The sequence below is a fragment of the Homo sapiens genome, chromosome 22, assembly GCF_000001405.40.
Source record: "Homo sapiens chromosome 22, GRCh38.p14 Primary Assembly".
Taxonomy (NCBI): domain Eukaryota; kingdom Metazoa; phylum Chordata; class Mammalia; order Primates; family Hominidae; genus Homo; species Homo sapiens.
The window spans coordinates 48,709,565-48,730,433 of NC_000022.11; the positions used below are offsets into that span (position 1 = coordinate 48,709,565).

The 20,869-nt window shown below is 50.5% G+C and overlaps 1 protein-coding gene across 2 annotated transcripts in view, besides 5 other annotated features; it reads left to right on the forward strand.

The window, feature by feature from the left end:
- The window catches only part of TAFA5 (TAFA chemokine like family member 5), a 262,380-nt gene that overhangs the window by 220,012 nt on the left and 21,499 nt on the right, over positions 1 to 20,869 (forward strand). The window lies entirely within an intron of this gene.
- Positions 2,243 to 2,742: an enhancer, noted in NCBI's record as "H3K4me1 hESC enhancer chr22:49107619-49108118 (GRCh37/hg19 assembly coordinates)". NCBI's record gives its function as "activates a minimal SCP1, AML or CMV promoter by ChIP-STARR-seq in primed H9 embryonic stem cells {active_cell/tissue: H9 hESC(primed)}" and the evidence as "EXISTENCE:reporter gene assay evidence [ECO:0000049][PMID:30033119]".
- Positions 8,283 to 8,872: an enhancer, noted in NCBI's record as "H3K27ac-H3K4me1 hESC enhancer chr22:49113659-49114248 (GRCh37/hg19 assembly coordinates)". NCBI's record gives its function as "activates a minimal SCP1, AML or CMV promoter by ChIP-STARR-seq in naive H9 embryonic stem cells {active_cell/tissue: H9 hESC(naive)}" and the evidence as "EXISTENCE:reporter gene assay evidence [ECO:0000049][PMID:30033119]".
- Positions 8,511 to 8,680: an enhancer, noted in NCBI's record as "experimental_63516 CRE fragment used in MPRA reporter constructs". NCBI's record gives its function as "activates a minimal promoter by MPRAs in K562 erythroleukemia cells, with activity observed for the non-introgressed 22:49113972 variant allele {active_cell/tissue: K562}" and the evidence as "EXISTENCE:reporter gene assay evidence [ECO:0000049][PMID:34662402]".
- Positions 8,873 to 9,462: an enhancer, noted in NCBI's record as "H3K27ac-H3K4me1 hESC enhancer chr22:49114249-49114838 (GRCh37/hg19 assembly coordinates)". NCBI's record gives its function as "activates a minimal SCP1, AML or CMV promoter by ChIP-STARR-seq in primed H9 embryonic stem cells {active_cell/tissue: H9 hESC(primed)}" and the evidence as "EXISTENCE:reporter gene assay evidence [ECO:0000049][PMID:30033119]".
- Positions 9,109 to 9,278: an enhancer, noted in NCBI's record as "experimental_63517 CRE fragment used in MPRA reporter constructs". NCBI's record gives its function as "activates a minimal promoter by MPRAs in K562 erythroleukemia cells, with activity observed for the introgressed 22:49114570 variant allele {active_cell/tissue: K562}" and the evidence as "EXISTENCE:reporter gene assay evidence [ECO:0000049][PMID:34662402]".

The following is a 20,869-nucleotide window of genomic DNA, read 5'->3' on the forward strand; positions in this document are numbered from 1 at the left end:
GGGTGTGAAAGCCACTCTGGGTCCCAGCTTCCAGTGACCCATCACTTCTCAGTCGCCCTTTGATGAGCCCCTCCTCCTCGTGATTTGAGGCCCACGAGGCGCCCAGGCCAGCGTTCAGGCTGCACCCCTTCAGGAACGAACTCGGATGCACCTCTGTGAGAGGACTGCTCAGTTCACCGGGGTGGGAAGTCAGGGAGTCCACAGACCCTGTGAGAGCTGGCGGTGGATAAGCAGGTCATCACTTGGATGCAGGCAGCCCTGCTGAGCCAGTGACAGGGCCAGGACTGGCCCAGCCCCTCCAAAGGCATCGAGGTGCTTGTCAGGAACAGGATTGGGTCCTTACCTGGAGGCTGCTGGCATCATCACATTTTGGTTTTTGGTAATTTATTGGGCTGAAATTCACATAACATCAAGTTGTCGATTTTAAAGCGAGCAGCTCAGTGGCATTGGGCACACTCACAGTGCTGTGCCACCACCCCCTCTACCTTGCTTCAGGGCATTTGCATCCCCCTGGAGGGATGCCCTTCACCCACCAGGCACCATCGGGGTCTTCAGATCTGCATGAAGGCTTCTCCTGTGCAGCTCTGCAGCCGCTCCTGCCCAGGGTTACCGTGGCAGACCTTTTGGCCCCACTAAGGGCAACGCTAATTAAAGTGACCAGTGAAGCCCCCCGTATGCAGGGCGCACACTGGTAAGTGGGGGACACAGATGTGGCCTGTCCCCAACCTGTCAGGCTGCCTGGATAATGCCTTGTCAGACAGCTTCATGGTGTTTTCCTTCACTGTTGGCCCAAACCCTGGACCCAGCCCTCCCTGCCTCCTGCGTTCACCCAGAACGCCTGTCTTCTCCTCTCTCCTCCCCTGTAGTTCTTCAGCACCTGAGTCATTCTCATGAAATCTCATCAGGGACCCCTTCACCCACCCCAGAGCCAGACCAGGGCCACCCAACCAGCCTCCCGCATCCGTCCAGGGCCGCCCAAGCAGCCTGCCGCGTCCGTCCAGGTCTGCCTGGCCAGCATGGCTTCTGTGTGTGCAGAGACAGAGAACCGAGGTGCTCACCGTGTCAGCTCAGTCCAAGCCCACAGGGCCCACCACGGGAGGCAGTGAGCCCCCCTTATTCTGGGGCATTTGAGGCAGAGGCTGACCAGGCACCTGGGATATTCCAGAGGGGTTCGAGCCTTCCTGGCTTTGGGAACAATAGCTGCACCTGTCCGGTGCTTGGTGTGCTCAGAGAGCCTGGGGGAGATGGCTGCAGACTCCCTTTCCCTTGGGCCTCACGGGCTTGGGAGCTCAGTTTCACAGGCTTGAATACTGCGGCTGGGTGAGCTGGAGTGACTGCTGGTGGCCAGGTGTACAGAAGTCCAGGGAGGTGGGATTGATTCTGCTTGTTCTGCTCAACACAAAGGCCAGACCTGGCTTGGTGTGAGACCCCAAGTGGCTTTCAGCTCGGGAGACTCAGATACTCTGATCTTCCCATCATTAGGACACTGCAGGGGACCCCCCAAGCCTCTGCTGGTGGAGGCTTAGAGGGCACCTGCAGGGACCAGGGACATGGGCAGGTGGGAGTCTGACTGTAGCAGGACACTCCGTCATCCAGCAGAGGAAGGACGGCTGTCCACTTCCAGGCTAGTGACTCTCAGGCACCCTGATTCTTCTAGAGAGTGAGGTCTCATAGGTGGAGGGGACGGCTCTGCTTTCCTGGGGGAGAGTGTGTGTCGGGGGCTTGAAGACCTGTCTCTCAGCCTGTGCCTCATGTTGCTATGGCGGGGGCACCTTGTATACATGGGCCGCGGATGCCTGGGCCGGTAGATCTCGGTGAGTGACCGTGTGCTCACTCCAGGGGACCGGGGTGGGCCCTGTAATCTTCCCAGGTATCTCGGGAGAAGTCTCTGGGAACAGCAGGAGAGCCGGCTCCTAATGGAATCACTGGCCTGTGGTGACCTGTGTTCAAAGCTTTCTGAAAAGGTTAGTTGAGCTCTTGAACCAAACACCATAGAATTGGAAGCTACAATCCCAGTTGTGCGATTGCATCTGAGTTCTCTCCTAGATGGTAAATTAGCGCTACATGAGATTTCACACTTTACCATAAATTGGTTTTCTGCGAGATGATGGCGTTCTCATAACTTGGCTTTTAGAGACTCAGCGGATACTGAGTTGCTGCTAATTCCATCCTAATGGCCACGTTCTCAGATTAGAGCTGGCCTCCAGCCCAGGCCTGATGCAGGCAGCCACCCGCTCCCAGCCTGCCCAGCTGCGCGCCACCATCGCGCCGATCCCCCGTCACTCCTCAACCCCTTCCGGTGTGGGCCGTTGCCGTTTACTTCTCTGTGTGGCGCCACCAGAGTGTGGGTCGCCTAGCACGGGCGCTGGGCCTAAGGGTGCTGCTGCCCCGTCCCCTTGCAATGCCTGCGCCTCTCTGTGTGACACGTGGATTCACGATTCATGGATTAACCGAGTGTGGACCCCAGGCACATGCTGATGCTTGTGTTTCCAGGATCACTGCTTTTTTGGGGATGGAGTTTCGCTCTTGTCACCCAGGCTGGAGTGCAAGGGCACAATCTTGGCTCACTGCAACCTCCACCTCCCGAGTTCAAGTGATTCTCCTGCCTCAGCTTCCCGAGTAGCTGGAATTACAGGCACCCACCATCACACCCAGCTAGTTTTTGTAGTTTTAGTAGAGGCAGGGTTTCACCATGTTGGCCAGGCTCGTCTCAAACTCCTGACCTCAGGTGATCCATCCGCCTCGGCCTCCCAAAGTGCTGGGATTACAGGCGTGAGCCACCGTGCCGGCCCAAGATCACTGCTTTTGAAAGTGCAGGCCGTCACCCCATTAGTGGGTTGTGAAATTAATTTAATAGATCATGACCAGCATTTAAAAGGAGGAAGGAATAGAGTGAAAATGTGAGAGAACATCTGTGTCAGGAGGGTGAGCGCCCGGTGACAAAGCACGCGCCTGGGCACACAGGCTCACATGGGAGAAGCCTTTCTCCTAGGTTGCTATGAAAGGCTGGAAATCCGCATCCTGTGGGGACTGGAGAGAAACTGACCTCTGCGGTGCTTTTCCAGGTGCTGCCTCTCTGCTGGCTCTACCTTGTGGACGTCCACCTGCCCCAGGCGAGGGGACCCTGGGTGGGTGTTTCAGGTTCTCCCGAGGTGTGAGCAACGCTCCTTCTTGGCCCGCCACTCTGGCTCCTGCTCCCTGGGGACAGGCCTAGAGCTGCTGTCCGCCCTCCTTCCCATTCCTGTGCTCTGCCTCTGCCTTCCTCTGTCCTTGAGTTGGGCTCTCAGAGCTGGAGGAGGAGGGACAGGCAGGGCTGGTGGGGCCGAGGGGAGCAGGCCAGGCCCACACACAAGCAGGTCTTCTCTCCACAGACGTTCCTTGGCTGGGGCTGCAAACCACACATGCAACTGGCTTTTGGAAATATTCTCATCAGTGTTTGCTCAGCCACGTTTTTGTAGTGTTTATGTATTGCAAGATACTTGTCAGTGAGCTGTGCCATCTCCTACATCAGAATCAGCCAGCTAGATGGAAATCCTGTTTGCACATTCGCTATTGAGTACCACCTTCTAATTCTGTGCTGCATGAAATCACAGTTGTGGGGGTGAAGAAAATTCAGCGGGGTTTCTGTATGGTTCTATTCGGGAACTCGTATTTCATGGCAACTCATTACACTAAAAGCCCATTTGCCCAACGTGAGAGATTCTGAGGACGTGCAGACGGCAGCTGCCGCTGATCTCGTGGGGGCTCGGATGTCTAAATTCCACCCCGGCCAGGCATCCCAGGAGTGTGGTGTAGTCAGGCCATTCCAGGGCCTCCGTTGGATATGGACAAGAGGACACTGAGGTCTCCTTGGGGCCTGGTGGCCCGGCCAGCAGCCTGCCAAAATGCTGTCTCTTCTCTCGTCTTGCCATAAACTGCTGCTGACTTGGGCTGGGCAGCTTGTGCTGTCAGCCTGCCGGCGAGTTCTGGAGGTCAGACTCACCACCGATGGATGATTCACGCCACCTACAAGCCCCTCTGGGAAAGGTTCTGTGGTCATCTCGTGGTTCGAGAGCTCTCCCGTTGGCATCTCCAGCAGTGCTGAGCGTCGTCCACGGGGGCCTTGTTTGGGATTTAGGAGCCAGCTTGCTACGGGGAGGAGCCTTCTGGCTGCACAGCCCCTGTCCCAGTGGATGGCTTGCCTTGTCCAGGCCACCAGGATCCTTGCCCCTGAGCTTCCTGCAAGCTCGGAGCCTGGAGGAGGGGCCCATCCCAGGAAAGGCATCTGTGCGGTAGCAAGCTCAAACCGTGAGGTCTCTTCGTTCTCGGATTCTGAGGGCTTAGCATGTGTCAACGTGGCCCCACTAACAGATCCATGGGAAGAACAGGCTAGGACCTACCCTGCCTCAGAGCACCCCCAGCGTGAAGAAGGAGGTGTCAACACCGGGGTCCCAGCCCAGTCCTCCCGTGTCTGTGCCAATCCGCCAGGCAGCTGGGGCACAAGAGTGCGTTCCCGTGCCAGGCCCTCGCCCAGGGCGGCCCTGCAGAAGGACAGAGTGTCCGTGGCCCGCACACTGAGCCCTGATTCTTGGAGGAGCCATCCATGGGAGACAGCAGACGCTTTTGCACCAGGGTCCCAGTTAAAGAGGACGAGACACTCACACTTCCTTTATGTGCCTTCTGGAACCCCCTGTAGGGTGACAGGGACACGAAAGGGGGAAAATGGCCTCCTGCTTTGAGTGCAAACTCAGCAAGACAGGTCTGGAAGGATGGGAGCGGGTGGACGGAGCTGACAAGCAGAGCTGAGCCCCAGGAGAGCAGTGTGTGGGCTCTGCCTCCATTCTGATGCAGGGCAGTGCTGACGGCCTCCTCCCAGCGCTGTAGAGGTGGGCCCAGTTGACAGGCTGCATAAGAGACCCCTGGTCCTTCCCACCCACCACCTGGGCCTCAGCTCCCTGCAGAATCCAAAGAAAACTGGACTCACAGAGGCTCATGCTAGAGAGGGAGAGACCTGGGCGGCGTTGGACCCTGCAGCGGAAACACAGCCAAGCATGGCAGGAACTTCTGGAAACCAGGCGATTAGGTGAAAATCGACGTTCTGAGGTGAGTCCCCACTCAGCTCCCTGAGGGCTCAGTCAAGAGACAGGAGGCTTCTTTCTGGATACACTTCCTGCCTGTGTGTCCTGCGGCCACCATAACCAATGACCACGTTCTGAGTGGCTGAAAATGGCAGAAACATATTATCTCAAGGTCCTGAAGGCCAGGAGGTCCAAGATCAAGTGGTCAGGGCCCTGCTGTCTTGGGAGGCTCTCGAGGAGGCCCCTCTTTTGCCTCTCATAGCTTCTGGTGACCCCAGGTGTTCCTTGGCTCGTGGCCACAGCAGTCCATTCTCTGCATCCGTCTTCATGGGGCCTGCTCTGTTTGCCAAATTTCCTTCTCCCTTTTCTTATAAACACTCCAGCTATTGGCTTTAGAGTCCATTGTAAATCTAGGATGATTTCATCTGAAGATCTTTCACTAATCATGCCTGGAAAGAACCTATTTCCAAATCAAGTCAGATTTTGAGGTTCCCCAGTGGACATGAACTTTGGGGGCCCCCCATTCCACCCACTGAACTCACCCGGCCCAGATCAGAACCCATGGGTGCCATGAGTTGGGGGCCACAGGGCCCTTCTGTGAAGCCCACCTGCCACCAGCCGGCTGTTCAGTGCTGTGCTCCGAAACATGGTGGAAAGCAAAGGTCACTCTGGGAGAGAAACAAAACCAGAAGAAGCCAAAGGAAGAGGAGCGAGGAACGTAGAGGCCGCAAGGAGTCATCGAGACAGCAGAGGAAGGGCCAGCACACCAACTAAACCACAGCTCAGCCTCAGAGACAGCGGACATGCATCCAGACACAGGATGGGGCAGGGAGGCGAGGAGGCTGGGGGTGGGGCGGGGCAGGGAGGTGAGGAGGCCAGGGCCTCCATCTTCCTCCTCTTGGGTGCTCTGCTTCCTCTCCCTGGCTCTCAGCCTTAGGGACATGTTTGGCAGGTGGAAGGGTGTGGTTGTGACCCCATGTGCTGCCTGGAACACTGGCTCTGACCCCTGAGCCCTGTAGGTGTCATTACCCCAAGCCTGTCCTGCTGGAGAGAAGAGGGGAGCCCAGGACTGGGTGAGTGGTGGGGCCTGCTGGCCCGACCCAGGCGCCTCAAGAGACAGAGGTGAGCCTGGCCAGCAAGCCTGCCCCAGCCACAGATGTCACCACTGAGTTTGGACAGTGAGTCTGGATGCTGTTGATGGCCTGGCAGTAGACAAGTGGGATGGGGAGCTCATTAAAGGAGTGTCGAGAAGCCTGGAGATTTTACATTTAAGTCTTTAATCCGTCTTGAGTTAATTTTTGTATAAGGTGTAAGGAAGGGGTCCAGTTTCAGTTTTCTGCATATGGCTAGCCAGTTTTCCCAGCACCATTTATAAAACAGGGAATCCTTTCCCATTGCTTGTTTTGTCAGGCTTGTCGAAGATCAGATGGTTGTAGATGTGTAGTGTTATTTCTGAGGCCTCTGTTCTGTTTCATTGGTCTATATATCTGTTTCGGTACCAGTACCATGCTGTTTTGGTTACTGTAGCCTTGTAGTATAGTTTGAAGTCAGGTAACATGATGCCTCCAGCTTTGTTCTTTCTGCCTAGGATCCACACATATGTATATTGCAGCACTATTTACAATAGCAAAGATGTGGAACCAACCCAAATGCCCATCAATGATAGACTGGATAAAGAAAATGTGGCATATACACACCGTGGAATACTATGCAGCCATAAAAAAGAATGAGTTCATGCCCTTTGCAGGGACATGGATGAAGTTGGAAACCATCATCCTCAGCAAACTAACACAGGAACAGAAAACCGAACACCACGTGTTCTCACTCATAAGTGGGAGTTGAACAATGAGAACACATGGACACCAGGAGGGGAACATCACACACCAGGGCCTGTTGGGAGGTGGGGGGCCAGGGGAGGGAAAGCATTAGGACAAATACCTAATGCATGTGGGGCTTAAAACCTAGATGACAGGTTGATAGGTGCAGCAAACCACCGTGGCACATGTGTACCTATGTAACAAACCTGCACGTTCTGCACATGTATCCCAGAACTGAAAGTAAAATTTTAATAAGAGCCTGGAGAGCGCTTTGGGAAACTGTACACATACACACACGTATATGTCTACATGGCAGAGATGTGTGCATACATGTACATATGGTATGCCTATAGGTACTGTATGCCTGTGTGTGTGTAGCAGCAGAGTGTATTACAAACCCAGTAGAATGTTGGAGACATAAAACTGAGGCAATCTCTCAGAAAGCAGAGAGTGGAATTTTCTAAAAGAAATGGGAACTAGGAAAGGAAAACAATAATCAGAAAATTGATTCAGGAGTTCTGAACGATATAACCTCCTGAAATAGCAGAAAATGAAGAAGAAATTATCAAAGAAATGCTTTCTAAAAATCTCTCCAGAACTGATGTCAGTTTCCCCGTGAGAGTACTCATCAAGCCCAGAAAATGAATGAATACAGTCGCATCCTAAAGCATGCCAGCATGAAATTTCAGACCACGGGAGATGAAAAACATCCCCAAAACTCAGAGGGAAAAACCAGGTCATGGGCAAAGACGCCCACAGCAGCGTCGTCGGGTTCTCAGCAGATCGCCGAAGCCGGGAAACAGTGTTGCCAGGTCTTGCAGAGCGCAGGCTGCGACTCCTGACCTGGAACTCCATCACTGCTGGAACGGGCCGTCAAGGGTGCAGGAAGAACAGGCTCCAGCCCTGGACATCCCAGGAGGAGCCCTGCACATCCCAGGAGGAGCCCTGCACGTACCTGTGCTTCGGAAGATGAGGGGAAGGGGTCAGGGGACAAGAGGTGTCTCCCAGGGAGAGGGCAATGAAGAAGCACCCAATGTTTCTAGCAGGAATTCGCAAATGAATTCCAAATATGCAGGCATTCAGGGAGGGAAAAAACGAAGATTTTTCTAGGAAAACAAGCACAAATGCCCTGAGGCTCCAGCGTGGGAACGTTGGAGAGCTGTGGCCGAGCCAGCACTGCCTCAGCCAGATCCATTGCCCACGTATTCATCAGGCCCCGTTCTCTGTCGGGCACTGCAGGTGCCATTGGAGAGTTCCAGTGCTTCCCAGGGACCACAGAGCAGGCATGGCCTCTGCCCTCCAGGAGCCACACGGGGGTGATCATCATTGGGCACAGCTTCTGAGGGGGGTGATGGCCCAGTTGAATTGGTCAGGGCATAGGCAAGGGAAGAGGGTCCACCCAGGTCCTCTGGGCCAGCACCCTGGAGAGCCAGGCTTAGGCATCCAGAGGGACCAGGTTGTCACCAGAAGTGAATAAGGCCCCAGGCTGGGCAGGGCCAGTCTGCAAGGCCCGGGAGCCGTCTGTCCTGCGTGTGGTGGGGGAGGACACAGAGCCACTTCATCTGGGAGTGAGATAGAGCTGCCTTCACGAGCCCAGGTGGGCTGTGGAGCTCGTGGCCTTGCATGGCCAGGGCAGGGCTGCTGCGGACAGCAGGCCACGGGCTGAGCAGAAGCGGAGGGCCCGGGAGGGTCTGCAATGCCCTCTCCCAGAGACAGGCAGGCGAGAGCCGAGGTGGTATCAGGGTGCACCCAGGCGTCCTCACCCGGCCTCTCCCTGGGATGCCCATGGCCACTTCCTGGCCCCCTGCACAGCAGACACTGGGCCCCGCTGTGGCCGTCATTAGTCAGCAAAGGCCGGGGCTGCTGGAGGAAGAAGGGGGATGCTGTAGCTGAACACTGAGCCTCTGTGGGGGCAGCGGGGAGGCCCCCAAGCAGGAAGGTGGTGGCTGTGGTTGTGGAGGGAAGTCAAGAGGTGTCTTGAGGGAGGATCCACAGTTACCAGGCAGCCAACCACACGCAAGCAGGGAGGGAGGACATGGGCCTGGCAGACCTGTGTGGGCGCCATCCTCCCGTGCGACCTGTGTCTGCCCTGTCCGACCCCCATTAGGAGCCTGCGGTTCATCTCCCAGAGCACTCCCCAGAGTACCAGAGCATCTCTGGTACTCCCCAGAGCACAGCCAAGCCGGGGCCTTGGGGCCCCCTCCCCGCACAAGGACCCTGGTCCCAGCCAGGCTTCCCCCGGCCCCGTGAGGTCAACCAGGAATTCACGCAGCCCTTTCGGATTCTGGAAGTTTCTTAAGTGACTGGGAGTTCCACCCCCGCCCCCCAACCTTCCAGTCCTCCGTGTGAGCCTCTTCCCTCTCTGTTGCTGGGAGCATTCATAGTCCCCATCCTGCACCAGGCTTGCCCTGCAGAGACAGGGTGCAGCTTGTCACTTCCTCCCTTCATGTGACAAGGTGGCCCCTGCCCCCGGCTCACTGTCACCATGGCTGAGGGCCCACCCTGCCCTCCACCATCTGTCTGTCCCCATGTCCTCCTAGCTGAGCAATCCTCTTTGCCCGGCCGGGTCAGCTCCGCCTTGAGGACTGGGGAGCATAGCTGTTCTCAACGTGGAAGAAACGCAGTTTTAATCCATTTTATGGGCCCAGGGGGATTTTCAACTTTTTCTTTTGAATCCCGTGTGGGGAGGTGTGCAGACATTCCTCTCGCCAGGGGCCCTGGCCTGCACACACCCGCAGGGGCTCTGCTTCCCAAGGCCGGCTCACCTTCCCCGTCCTTCTGGAACTAATGCCAGGTGGACGCAGAGCCGGCAGGACTGAAGAGAACCGCCCCTCGGGTGAGGTGGCACGTCCCGTTCCCCTCGGAGCCCTCCAGCCAGCAGCTCAGCCCTGGCTGCCTGGGCCAGAGCCCAGAGGCTCCAAGTCCGTCTGGAGTGTGATCAGATGGCGTTCATGGAGACTGACTCAGGGAACTGGAGGGAGAGGGAGGCTGAGCTCAGGAAGAGGTGGCTGCGATGGCCAGGGGAGAGGAAAACTGCCCAGAAGGATCGTGAAGGAAGAGGAGAGAGAAGGACATTCCCTACCCTCTCACCAGCCCAAGAGAGCAGGGTGGTGGTGGGCCGAGGTGGCCTCAGGACTGCCCCCCCTGCATTCTCTCCCAAGGACAAAGAAGGCTGAGGCTTAAACAGGTCTGAGAGACGGCGCAGGGGTGGGTACTTGGCCAGAAGTGGCCGGGGACCCGCACCTAACTAATCTTTTTTCTGCACAAACAATGAAAAATACTAAGTCATTACTCTGCTCCCTGTCTGCAATCCATTTTGCGTTCTTTTGAATCACCGCTATTCATCACCACGATAATGGCTGGACATTTTAATAGATTCTGTGTGTAAACAAAAACGTATATGGCCGGCGCCACATCAGCTAGTATTGTAAGCAGTGACACTCTTCATTTTCTCAGCAGAAATGAGCCCAGAAACAAAAAAAAATTGGTTTGACCAAACCCACATTATTTCTGTCTGCACTTTGGGCCACTTTTGTAATGGGAGACGTGACACGCTGGGCGCCATTTACAGTAATTGTCCTGCATTAGGCTCGATCTTCCTTAAAGAATTTGTTCTTTGAATCGTTTTAAATACATAAATGGCAAATGGCTGAAATGTGAGGACGCTCGCCCGGTGCAGAAGGGTGGACGGGGTCTGTCGCGAAACCCAGTGGGTGTGGCGGGGCTGGGGATTTCCTGGTGCCCCCTACTGGTCAGAAAGTTACGTTACGTTGGGTCAGGGTGAGGATCAGGCTTAGGGTTTGTCTGAGTGACATGATCAGTGCCTCCTTCTCCTTTTCCCTGCCCTTGCTTCCCTGTCTTCTCCCCACCGTTCCCATCCCTCTGACACTGTTTTGGTGCCAAGTCAGAGACTGGAATGCAGAGATGAGACACGTGACCCAACATCTCAGGGACACCCCTCGAGAATCGCTGGAGGGGTCACTTTTTGGTGCCAAATGGGCCTGCTTGGTTGGCCTCTGAGTCTGGCACATCACTGGGAAGAGAGGTGGGAAAGGCTTGCTGAGTAAATGGCAGACAGCACTCTGTTTACCTGGCGGGGACTGCGGCAAGGTGCTCACATCCCACCGTGCATAGCCAGGACAGAGGGGTCCTGGGGACCATCCTCCGGCTATGCAGGTGCGGGGAGCCTGGTCTCCAAGACATGGGGAGACACCCTGTCTTGTTGCTGACAGGGCAGCTTCCCAGAAGTTCTCATTATGTTCACAATGGAAATGCAATGCCTTGGTCCCCACCACGCTGGCACCTGGGCACGGAGCCTCCACAGGGTTCCCTGTGCTCGAGACGTATTTCTGAGCAGCACCTTCCAGGGCCTGGCTGTGGTCTAGAGGAACTCTGCTCACAGTGCAGACCACGGAATGCCCTGGAAGGGCTCCACGTCCTGCCCAGACCCCTGGGGACCCTTTCTGGGTGGATCCCAGAATAGGCACTTCTTGTTCCTGCCTCAGGCCCCCTCATGCACAGTGAAGTCACACCCACGTGAAGACCCCGGATGAGGAACCCGAGTGGCCCCCTCTCCTGAGGGCGCTAAGGCCACTGTCCCCTGCTGGGCCAGGCTCCCTGACAGCCCCACTGTGTGGTTGCCCAAGCAGGAAGGTGGACGTGAGCTCCATCTCGATGGGTGAGGCTTTGGGATGCTGGACTTTCAAATGGCCCTGGAATCTACACAATCCTAGGGGAAGGATAGAGTCCCGCCTTAGACACTGGAGTCTTCCCCATAGAGGGTTGCCCCTGTGAGGGACAACCTCCCTGGCCATTCTAGAGCAGCCTGGGCCACTGCCCCCGTGCCACCATTTCAGCCCGCCCACTGCCTTCATGCCACCCACTGCCTTCGTCCCGCCCGCTGCGTGTGACCTCAGATCCTCACCAGAGCACTGCCTCCGTGCTGCTGTTTCAAGCCCGTCCACTGTGTGTGATCTCAGGTCCTCACCAGAGCCGTTGGAACCGGTGCCACTGTCTGATTCCAAGTCTCATGAACTGATTGGCAGAAGGTGCTGGCCAAGTGCTGGAAAACCTGTTTTTCTCCTATTGGTTGGCAGAAGGTGCTGGCCAAGTGCTGGAAAACCTGTTTTTCTCCTATTGGTTTATAATCCTTATAATCTTACAGATGACATCACTTTGAGATTAATTTCTTTGTAAAGGACAAAGATGAACTTATTCCTTCCTGACTGTACTGTGGAAAGTAAGATCAGGGTGGGGCACAGTGGCTCACGCCTGTAATCCCAGCACTTTGGGAGGCCAAGCAGGCAGATCACTTGAAGTCAGGGGTTCGAAACCAGCCCGGCCAACATGGTGAAACCCCGCCTCTACTAAAAATACAAAAATGTGCCAAGCGTGGTGGCACGCACCTGTGATCCTAGCTACTTGGGAGGCTGAGGCAGGAGAATCGCTTGATCGCTTGAACCTAGGAGGCGGAGGCTGCAGTGAACCGAAATCACACCACTGCACTCCAGCCCAGGCGACAGAGCAAAACTCTGTCTGAAAAAAAAAAATTTAATAAACATACGTGTGTGTGTGTCTTTATAGTAGAATGATTTATAATCCTTGGGGTACATACCCAGTTATGGGATTGCTGGGTCAAATAGTATTTCTAGTTCTAGATCCTTGAGGAATCGCCACACTGTCTTCCACAATAGTTGAACTAATTTACACTCCCACCAACAGTGTAAAAGCGTTCCTATTTCTCCACCTCCTCTCCAGCATCTGTTGTTTCCTGACTTTTTAATGACCGCCATTCTAATTGGCGTGAGGTGGTATCTCATTGTTTATTGCGGCACCGTTCACGATAGCAAAGACTTGGAAAGTGAACCCAAGTGTTCATCAATGATAGACTGGATAAAGCAAATGTGGCACATATACACCATAGAATACTATGCAGTCATAAAAAAGGATGAGTTAATGTCCTTTGCAGGGACATAGATGAAACTGGAAACCATCATTCTCAGCAAACTAACAACAGGAACAGAAAACCAAACACCGCGTGTTCTCACTCATAAGTGGGAGTTGAACAATGAGAACACATGGACACAGGGAGGGGAACATCACACACTGGGGCCTGTCGGGGTGGGGGGCTAGGGGAGGGATAGCATCAGGAGAAATACCTAATGTAAGTGACAGGTTGATGGGTGCAGCAAACCACCACGGCACATGTATACCTATGTACCAAAACTGCACGTTCTGCCATGTACCCCAGAACTTAAAGTATATAAAAACAAAAATTGAAAAAGAAAGTAAGATCAACATGCAAGGTGGGTGCACGCCACAGGGGCAGTCATGGCCGGGGGTACATCCTAACAGTGAGGTGCTGTCTCCAATCAGCTGGGCTGCACGCCACAGGGCAGTCATGTCTAGGGTCCATCCTAACAGTGAGCATATGTAGAACTGGACGCTGGGCAGAGGCTGTGCAAGGAGTGAGTGTGTGGCTGCATTAATCCAGAAAGCCACGGAGGCTTCTATGGACTTGCAGGGGAGCCCGTCTTCTCCTCTCTCCTCCAAACGCTGGAGAAGCTCGTTCTAGCTGTCTCTAGCCCCAAGGCCGCCCTCTACCTGTGCCCAGCCTGTCCCCTGAGCCCCAGGTTCCCATCATGACAGACCGGTCCCTTTGTCACAGCACCTGTGTGTGCCGTCTTCTTGGCTGGTGTGTCCAGATGTGCCTCATTCTCAGCCCAGCTCTTCAGACCCAGATAGCAGCACACAGGATACCGGGGCTCTGCCAGCCACCCCCTTCCAAATGGCTTCTGCATGCCACAGTGGGAATGAAATACGACGTGTGGCATGGGCGCTTGTTAAAGATCAGTCTTTAAAAATGAAATAGAAGGATTTGTGTCTGCATCCAAATTACTTTAAATGTCAGCTCCCCGTTAAACCCAAGATATGGCGGGTGGCACAGGTCCTTGGATGACACCTCTACCCCGTCGTGTTCATCAGTGCCGGCGTCTTCGTCACTGCGGCTCTGTCCCTGGGTCCCTTCGCATATCACCTCTTCCTGAACTGGAATATAAATCTCAGGCTCCATAGGCTTTGGGCATGATTGAACCACTGTGTGCCTCCCAGACTGACAAGCCCCTTCCAGGGATGCGGCCATTGTACCAAAAAGACTTACTGGGTCAGATCCCACCATCCTCCCCCTGCCTGGAAGAGTGACTGCTCTTCTGCGTGCTAGGGTGGGAGACCTTGTGGAAGTCAGTTTATCTTTAGAGTTTCAGTTTCCTTATCTGTAGAAGGGGGTAAGAATGCCCCCAGGGTTGACCCTTCAGGTTCATGGGATGATAAGAAAGGAAAATGGTGGACGAGAAAGGTTTCTGAGGCTCTGCTGTGCTCCTGGCCCTCTTGCTTGCTTCTGCCCTACCTAAGGCACAGACAAGTTCTCTGTGTAGGAAAAGGATTCTTGTTTTCCACATGTGGTATCTTCCAGAGTATCCTGGAATGTCTACATGCCCGATTAGAATCCAGCATTAGAATGAAGTCAGACTCTCAGCCTCTTCTTTGGGAAACCCCTGCCCATCTGGTCATTGGTGCTGTGCAACAGGAAAGACTCGGGGTGCTGGTTGCATTGCTGCAGCAGGAGAGACTCGGGGTTCTGGTTGCATTGCTGCAGCAGGAGAGACTCAGGGTTCTCGTTGCATTGCTGCAGTAGGAGAGACTTGGGGTTCTCGTTGCATTGCTGCAAGCAGGAGAGACTCGGGGTTCTCGTTGCATTGCTGCAGCAGGAGAGACTCAGGGTACTGCTTGCATTGCTGCATCTCTCAAAAGCTTTGTTTTGTTGTTGGTTAGATTTGGCACTGTGTAGTCATGGCCATGTGGCTTCAGGTTCTCACAGGACACAGGGACATGTGACTGATGAGGTTTCAAGAGAGGAGGATTGGATGAGTGGGGGATTGCAGCTTCCCTCCTCCCGACACCTGGGACCCTCCACTCACAGAGAGAATGAGCTTCTCCAGCGTTTGGAGGAGAGAGGAGAAGATGGGCTCCCCTGCAAGTCCATAGAAGCCTCCGTGGCTTTCTGGATTAATGCAGCCACACACTCACTCCTTGCACAGCCTCTGCCCAGTGTCCAGTTTTACATATGCTTTGGAAATAAGAACAACTGTCAATAACACCATGACCTAAAGAAAGAAACAAGTAAGCGCTGAAAAGCACTGGGGAAAGCCCCCTGGGGCTCAAAGGAGTGGAAGCCCGTGCCTTATCCTCTGAGCCCCAGCTATGACAGTGACCTCCTGTAATGCACAAAAAGCCCTGGACTTCCTTCTCAGGCCTGGGTCTAACCGTAGGACTTAGAAACTAGTGATCAGAGGGTTCACAGGCAGGCAGAGGTGGAATCCTACCCACCCAGGGGGCATCCCCTGCTCGGTCCTGCAGAGACTCAGCTCCCAGCCTGCGGCATGGCAGGGAGGAAAGGCAGTGGGTGGAGGTAAGTTTCACAGAAGAGGCACAGAGATGGCAGAAGAGCCTCTTAGCTAGAGTAGGAGTAAGCAAGAGGGCCAGGGGCGCACCAGGAACTGTGTTCTTCCGTTCAGCTCTCATTCCCAAAGGAGCAGAAAACTCTGCAGCTTAGACAGAAGTCTGACCTCCCAAAAGGGAGCAGAGCCCAGCCCTGAGGAGCCGCCTCCAGCTGGCGGGAAGCCTGTCGGGCATCCTGTGAAGATGAAGGCCTGCTGCACATCGCCCGGACCTTTCAGGCCATCCCGGAGTGGGCAGGGCTTCCCACACCTGCAGGAACCAGAGCGAGACTGGAGACGAGCTCCCCGCCATGCCCCATGGCTCATTCTAGACCAGGATTGATTGACCTCTGCCGGTTTAAAAGGGCATTTTTTTTTTAAGCCTCAAAGTCAAAACTCAAGTATGAGCCCGTAAAAAAGTAATAATAATAATAAGCACTATCTATGGAAAGCAATCCTGTCCTAAAGATTTTAGGGCAGAGGTAGCTCTGAAAATAGATCTCTGCAGTAAACAGACAATACTTTTATAGAAAGTGTCTGCTTGTTGGTGTCACAGAGATGGACTGCATGGCCGTGACCCAGGAGCCAGGAACCCAAGGTGAGGCAGGACCTGGAACGAAGGCAGACATCCAAGGGTTTTCTGAATGAAATAGAAGATGGATACGGAGACACCAAAGATGTAAAAGTAGAGTTTAGTTGTGTATTGGGAGCTGCAAATAACATAAATATAACTGCAGAAAATCAAAACAGTGATAAGGAGACTAATCTTAAAACCAAGAGATAATTCACAGAAAAAAAAAAAAAAAAGCAAGGAAATGGAACAAAACAGATAAAGAGAAGTTGGTAGATCTGGAGGACAGAGGATGAATATCTAACTGAAGAGTCGTGGATGCTCCTGAGGGGGAACCTCAATGGCTCCAGCAGAAGGAAGAATCACATTAGAGTGAAAACCATAGTGTTGGAAAGAAAGTTACTCGAGCTGGAGGAAACTGCCAACGAAAAACCAAACAAAAACACCCTGGATCTAGCCATTTTATGGTGATATCTTTGAATTTCAAGAACAAAGGAAACCCTTGTGATAACCATCCAGGGAATATTAAGAAAATAGAAAGACAAGAGAACAAGAATCCCCACAAACACACATGCAAGCTGTCCCCTGAACTCAGTGAGACTTAGAACCAGGAGACAAGAGGGAGACTTATGTAAATATATGATTGAAACATCGTTTTACTTATGAATTTGTTCTCATTTCTATTTGTTTTGTTGTTTTTGGGCAAAGTAAATAAATAAGACAGCTTTAGATTTGCAAGGATTTAGAAAGCTTACCAGTTATGCCGAACCCTTACTGTCTTCAGTGCGGATGGCATCAGGTTCAAGAGGTTGAAGAAGAGACCCAGAGCCAGCAAATGAGACCTGGAGGTGGGGGGCACTTACATACAGGGTAGAGAGGCTAGTGGTGGTGGGCTGGACAGGTGAACTACCTCACATACAGAAACAATCCAGTCGTGGTAGTCTGGACGGGAGAATCACTGGTCCAGTGGTGGTGGGCTGGACAGGTGAACTACCTTACATACAGAAATAATCCAGTCGTGGTAGTCTGTACAGGAGAATCACTGGTCCAGTGGTGGTGGGCTGGACAGGTGAACTACCTTACATACAGAAATAATCCAGTCGTGGTAGTCTGGACGGGAGAATCACTGGTCCAGTGGTGGTGGGCTGGACAGGTGAACTACTTTACATACAGAAACAATCCAGTCGTGGTAGTCTATACGGGAGAATCACTGGTCCAGTGGTGGTGGGCTGGACAGGAAAATCACAACCACATGCAAAAAGCTTGCAGTTTATATGGCATTTTCAAATAGCACCTTCCCCCAAGCAGGCTCCACCTGGCACTCTTCATTCAACCCCGGATCTGGAGCCTCAATCCCCTGTGTAGGCCACGTTCCATAGGACGGGCTGGGGGCTCAGATGTTCCTCATAGACAAGGAGTGTATCTCCAGGTTGGCCACTCCTGGATTCCCTAGCTCAGAGCACACATTCAGGTGTATCTTCCGTACGGGGTCACTCTCAGGGTATGCTTAAATTATTGCTATCAGGTACATTTATCATACCACCTACATACCTTTCCTGAACAAGTGAGGAAAAGATGCACTCAAGTCAATCAGGAAAGAAAGAAACATCAGGAGCTGAACATTGAAAAGGTCACATGTAAGATGATTAATGGTGACCATTGATATCAGTTGAATACATGGGGCTGGATATAAATGATTCCTCTAACTATGGCTATAAAATTGAACATAAGATTCACAGCACTATTATTTAATATACTCTGTATATTATGAAAAACAATTGGTGCATGAAAATAACGTGGTCTGTAACCTCTAGTAAAACTAACAGAGGCTGTGGGGAGCAGGCAGTGGCAGGCTGGAGTCACTCATGGGATAGAAGGAGCCATGATGATTTAAGTCGTTAGAGAAATGATGTAGTCATTAAGAGTGCATTTGCTTAACATAAAAGCTATCACAAATAGAGACAAAATATAATTTCAACTAAACCACTGAGAGTAAAAAGCAAGTGACACTTGTGCATGTATGTAAAGACAAGACCAATCATGAAAGGAACATATCCAGAAATCAACTTGGATCATAGTGTTCGGATAGAATGTCACTATCAGTGAAGACAATAAATGTAAATGGATTAGTCTCCTCTATTAAAAAGCAAAGACTATCAAATCAAGTGTTGAAAATAGCCAAACGTGTTGTCTTCTAAGGGCATTCCTACAAAATAATAAGGTTAAAAGCAAAAAATAAATAAAGATAAATCAGGCAAATGCATTTGAAAGGAAATTGAGAGGTAAAACATTAAATTGGAACAATATTGTCATATATTGATACATTTACTTATTGACACGTTTATGCCTTACAGTTCAGACTGTAATGAAAGTGTCACATTTAGAAATCATTATGCACTGATTAGCATACATAAGAATAGATTATGTAAACACAATTACAAATAAATTATATGATCAGAAACAATTTTTAGCTGAGATTTAAATAACTTAATCTATATTAAGGTCAAGTAAACACCACCAATAACAACAACAAAAAGCAGCAGTGCATAGATCTTTTGAATACTACAATTAACTAAAATTGAATTTGAGCCACATATCTAAATTATAGTATACAAACAAGGCTGCTTCCAATTTTCAATCATTGTTGAAATCTCTACAAAAAGAGCCATAAACCAAGTCATGAATTAAATCACACTAGGAGAAGAAATGCACCAGCCCTCTTTTCCAGTGAGAATACACTGTATTTAAAATTGAGACTTACACCAAAAAATAAAAGCCTTATTAACCAGGACTTTCTTATAATTTATTGATTGAAAGTTTTAATAAAAGAAGAAGCCACACTCACAGAAGGTCACATGCAATGTCTGAAGTCCATCTGCTGGTGTCCAATGCTGGATGGAGCAACTGCCAGATGGTTAACTTGGAGCAAACTTCCCTTTCTATGCCTCAGTTTCTACATTTATAATATGGACAAAATACCACTTCCTAGGGCTTTTGTAAGCATTGGATGAATTCGTATATTAAAGTGATTTGAGCAGGGCTAGCACTACTGAACAATATTATATATGCATTTGAGTTATTGATATCCCATTTAGAATGTCATAGAAATAACACACGGTATTTTTGCAGATCCAGTGAAAGAGCTACTCATCAGTGTATGTATGTCTTTAAATGCCTTTATCTTCAAATCAGAAAGAATGAACACAACTTAAGCGGGAGGAAAAGCCACCCTTCCCCTCAAAGAGGAGAAAACAGCTGGTAAAGCTGAAAAGAAATATTAATGAATTTTAAAAAGAAAGGCATGGAGTGTGTCATTGCACCTTTAACAAACCTATAAAAATGTGGTTTTACTTCTTTACATAAATTATTTTATATCAGAAAATAGAGCTGAAAGGAGGAAGCAGATTACTAGGCTGAGATAGGCTGAAAGCTACACCTGTTGCACCAGTCAGCCAAGTTGTAGAGCAAAGGAAAAATTATTCACAAGTGTATGCATAGCTAGTGTATCGATCGCTAAATCTGGAAATTTTTATTAAATGTATATTTTTTCTAGGGGAAAAACTACCATACATAACTGAAGGAATAGATAAATGTTAATATTCTTCAGTAAAATTTTCAGAGAGAAATACTTTAATAGGCACGCTGCTTAAAATATTAAGTGTTCAGGTTTCTTTTCCCAAATATTGGAAAATATGGAAAATCATCCAGTTTATCTTAGGAACTAAAATATTTTATATTTATTTATAAATATATAATAATTTTATATTTATTTATAAATATATAATAATTTTATATTTATTTATAAATATATAATATTTTTATATTTATTTGTAAATATATATTTTTATATTAGTATATAATAATTTATAAATATATGTAAATATATAATAGTCATAAATATATTTATATTATAAATTCGTATAAAATATAAATTCATAAACATAAATCTGTATAAAATATAAATTCACAAATATAAATCTGAAAAGAGGAATCAGATTACTAGGCTAAGACAGGCTGAAAGCTGTGCCTCTTACACCAGTCAGTCAAGTTGTAGAGCAAAGGAAAAATTATTCACAAGTGTATGTGGTATGTGTAGCTAGTGTATTGATCACTAAATCTGGAAATTTTGTTTATGTAATTTTTAATTATATAAAATATAAATAAATATAAATTTATAAGTTTATATTTAAATTTATTTTAAATATATAAATATAAATTTAAATATAAAACATAAATATAAATTTAAATATGAAATATATAAATTTAAATATAAATATATAAATATATATTTAGGAACTGAAATATTTTAGAAAGTGTCCCAAAAGATAAAAAAGTTCCAATTATCATCTCCTTCCACAAAGACTTTTGAGTCTGTGATGTGGGCCAGGCACCGTGTCAGGCACGCAATTCCTTCAGCAAGCAGCCTAGCAGCTGCATACACCCACCCAGCATTGTCCCGAGGGCAGCAGCCGCCTCTGGGGATCCGTGTCCCTGGAATGTGCATCCTCTGGTGTTAGTACTGCATGGCACACACATTGCTCACACCTACATAAAATAACAGCACACTGAATTCTGAGTCCTTTAAAAGAAAAAAAAGAGGCTGGGCACGGTGGCTTACGCCTGTAATCCCAGCACTTTGGGAGGCCGAGGTGGGCGAATCATGAGGTCAGGAGATTGAGACCATCCTGGCCAACCTGGTGAAACTTCATCTCTACTAAAATACAAAAAAATTAGCTGGGCATGGTGGCACGTGCCTATAGTCCCAGCTACTTTCAGGAGGCTGAGGCAGGGGAATCGCTTGAACCCGGGAGGTGGAGGTTACAGTGAGCCGAGATCACGCCACTGCACTCCAGCCTGGGCGACAGAGCAAGACTGTGTCTCAAAAAAAAAAGAAAGAAAGAAAAGGCCACATGCAGTGCGGTGGAGCCA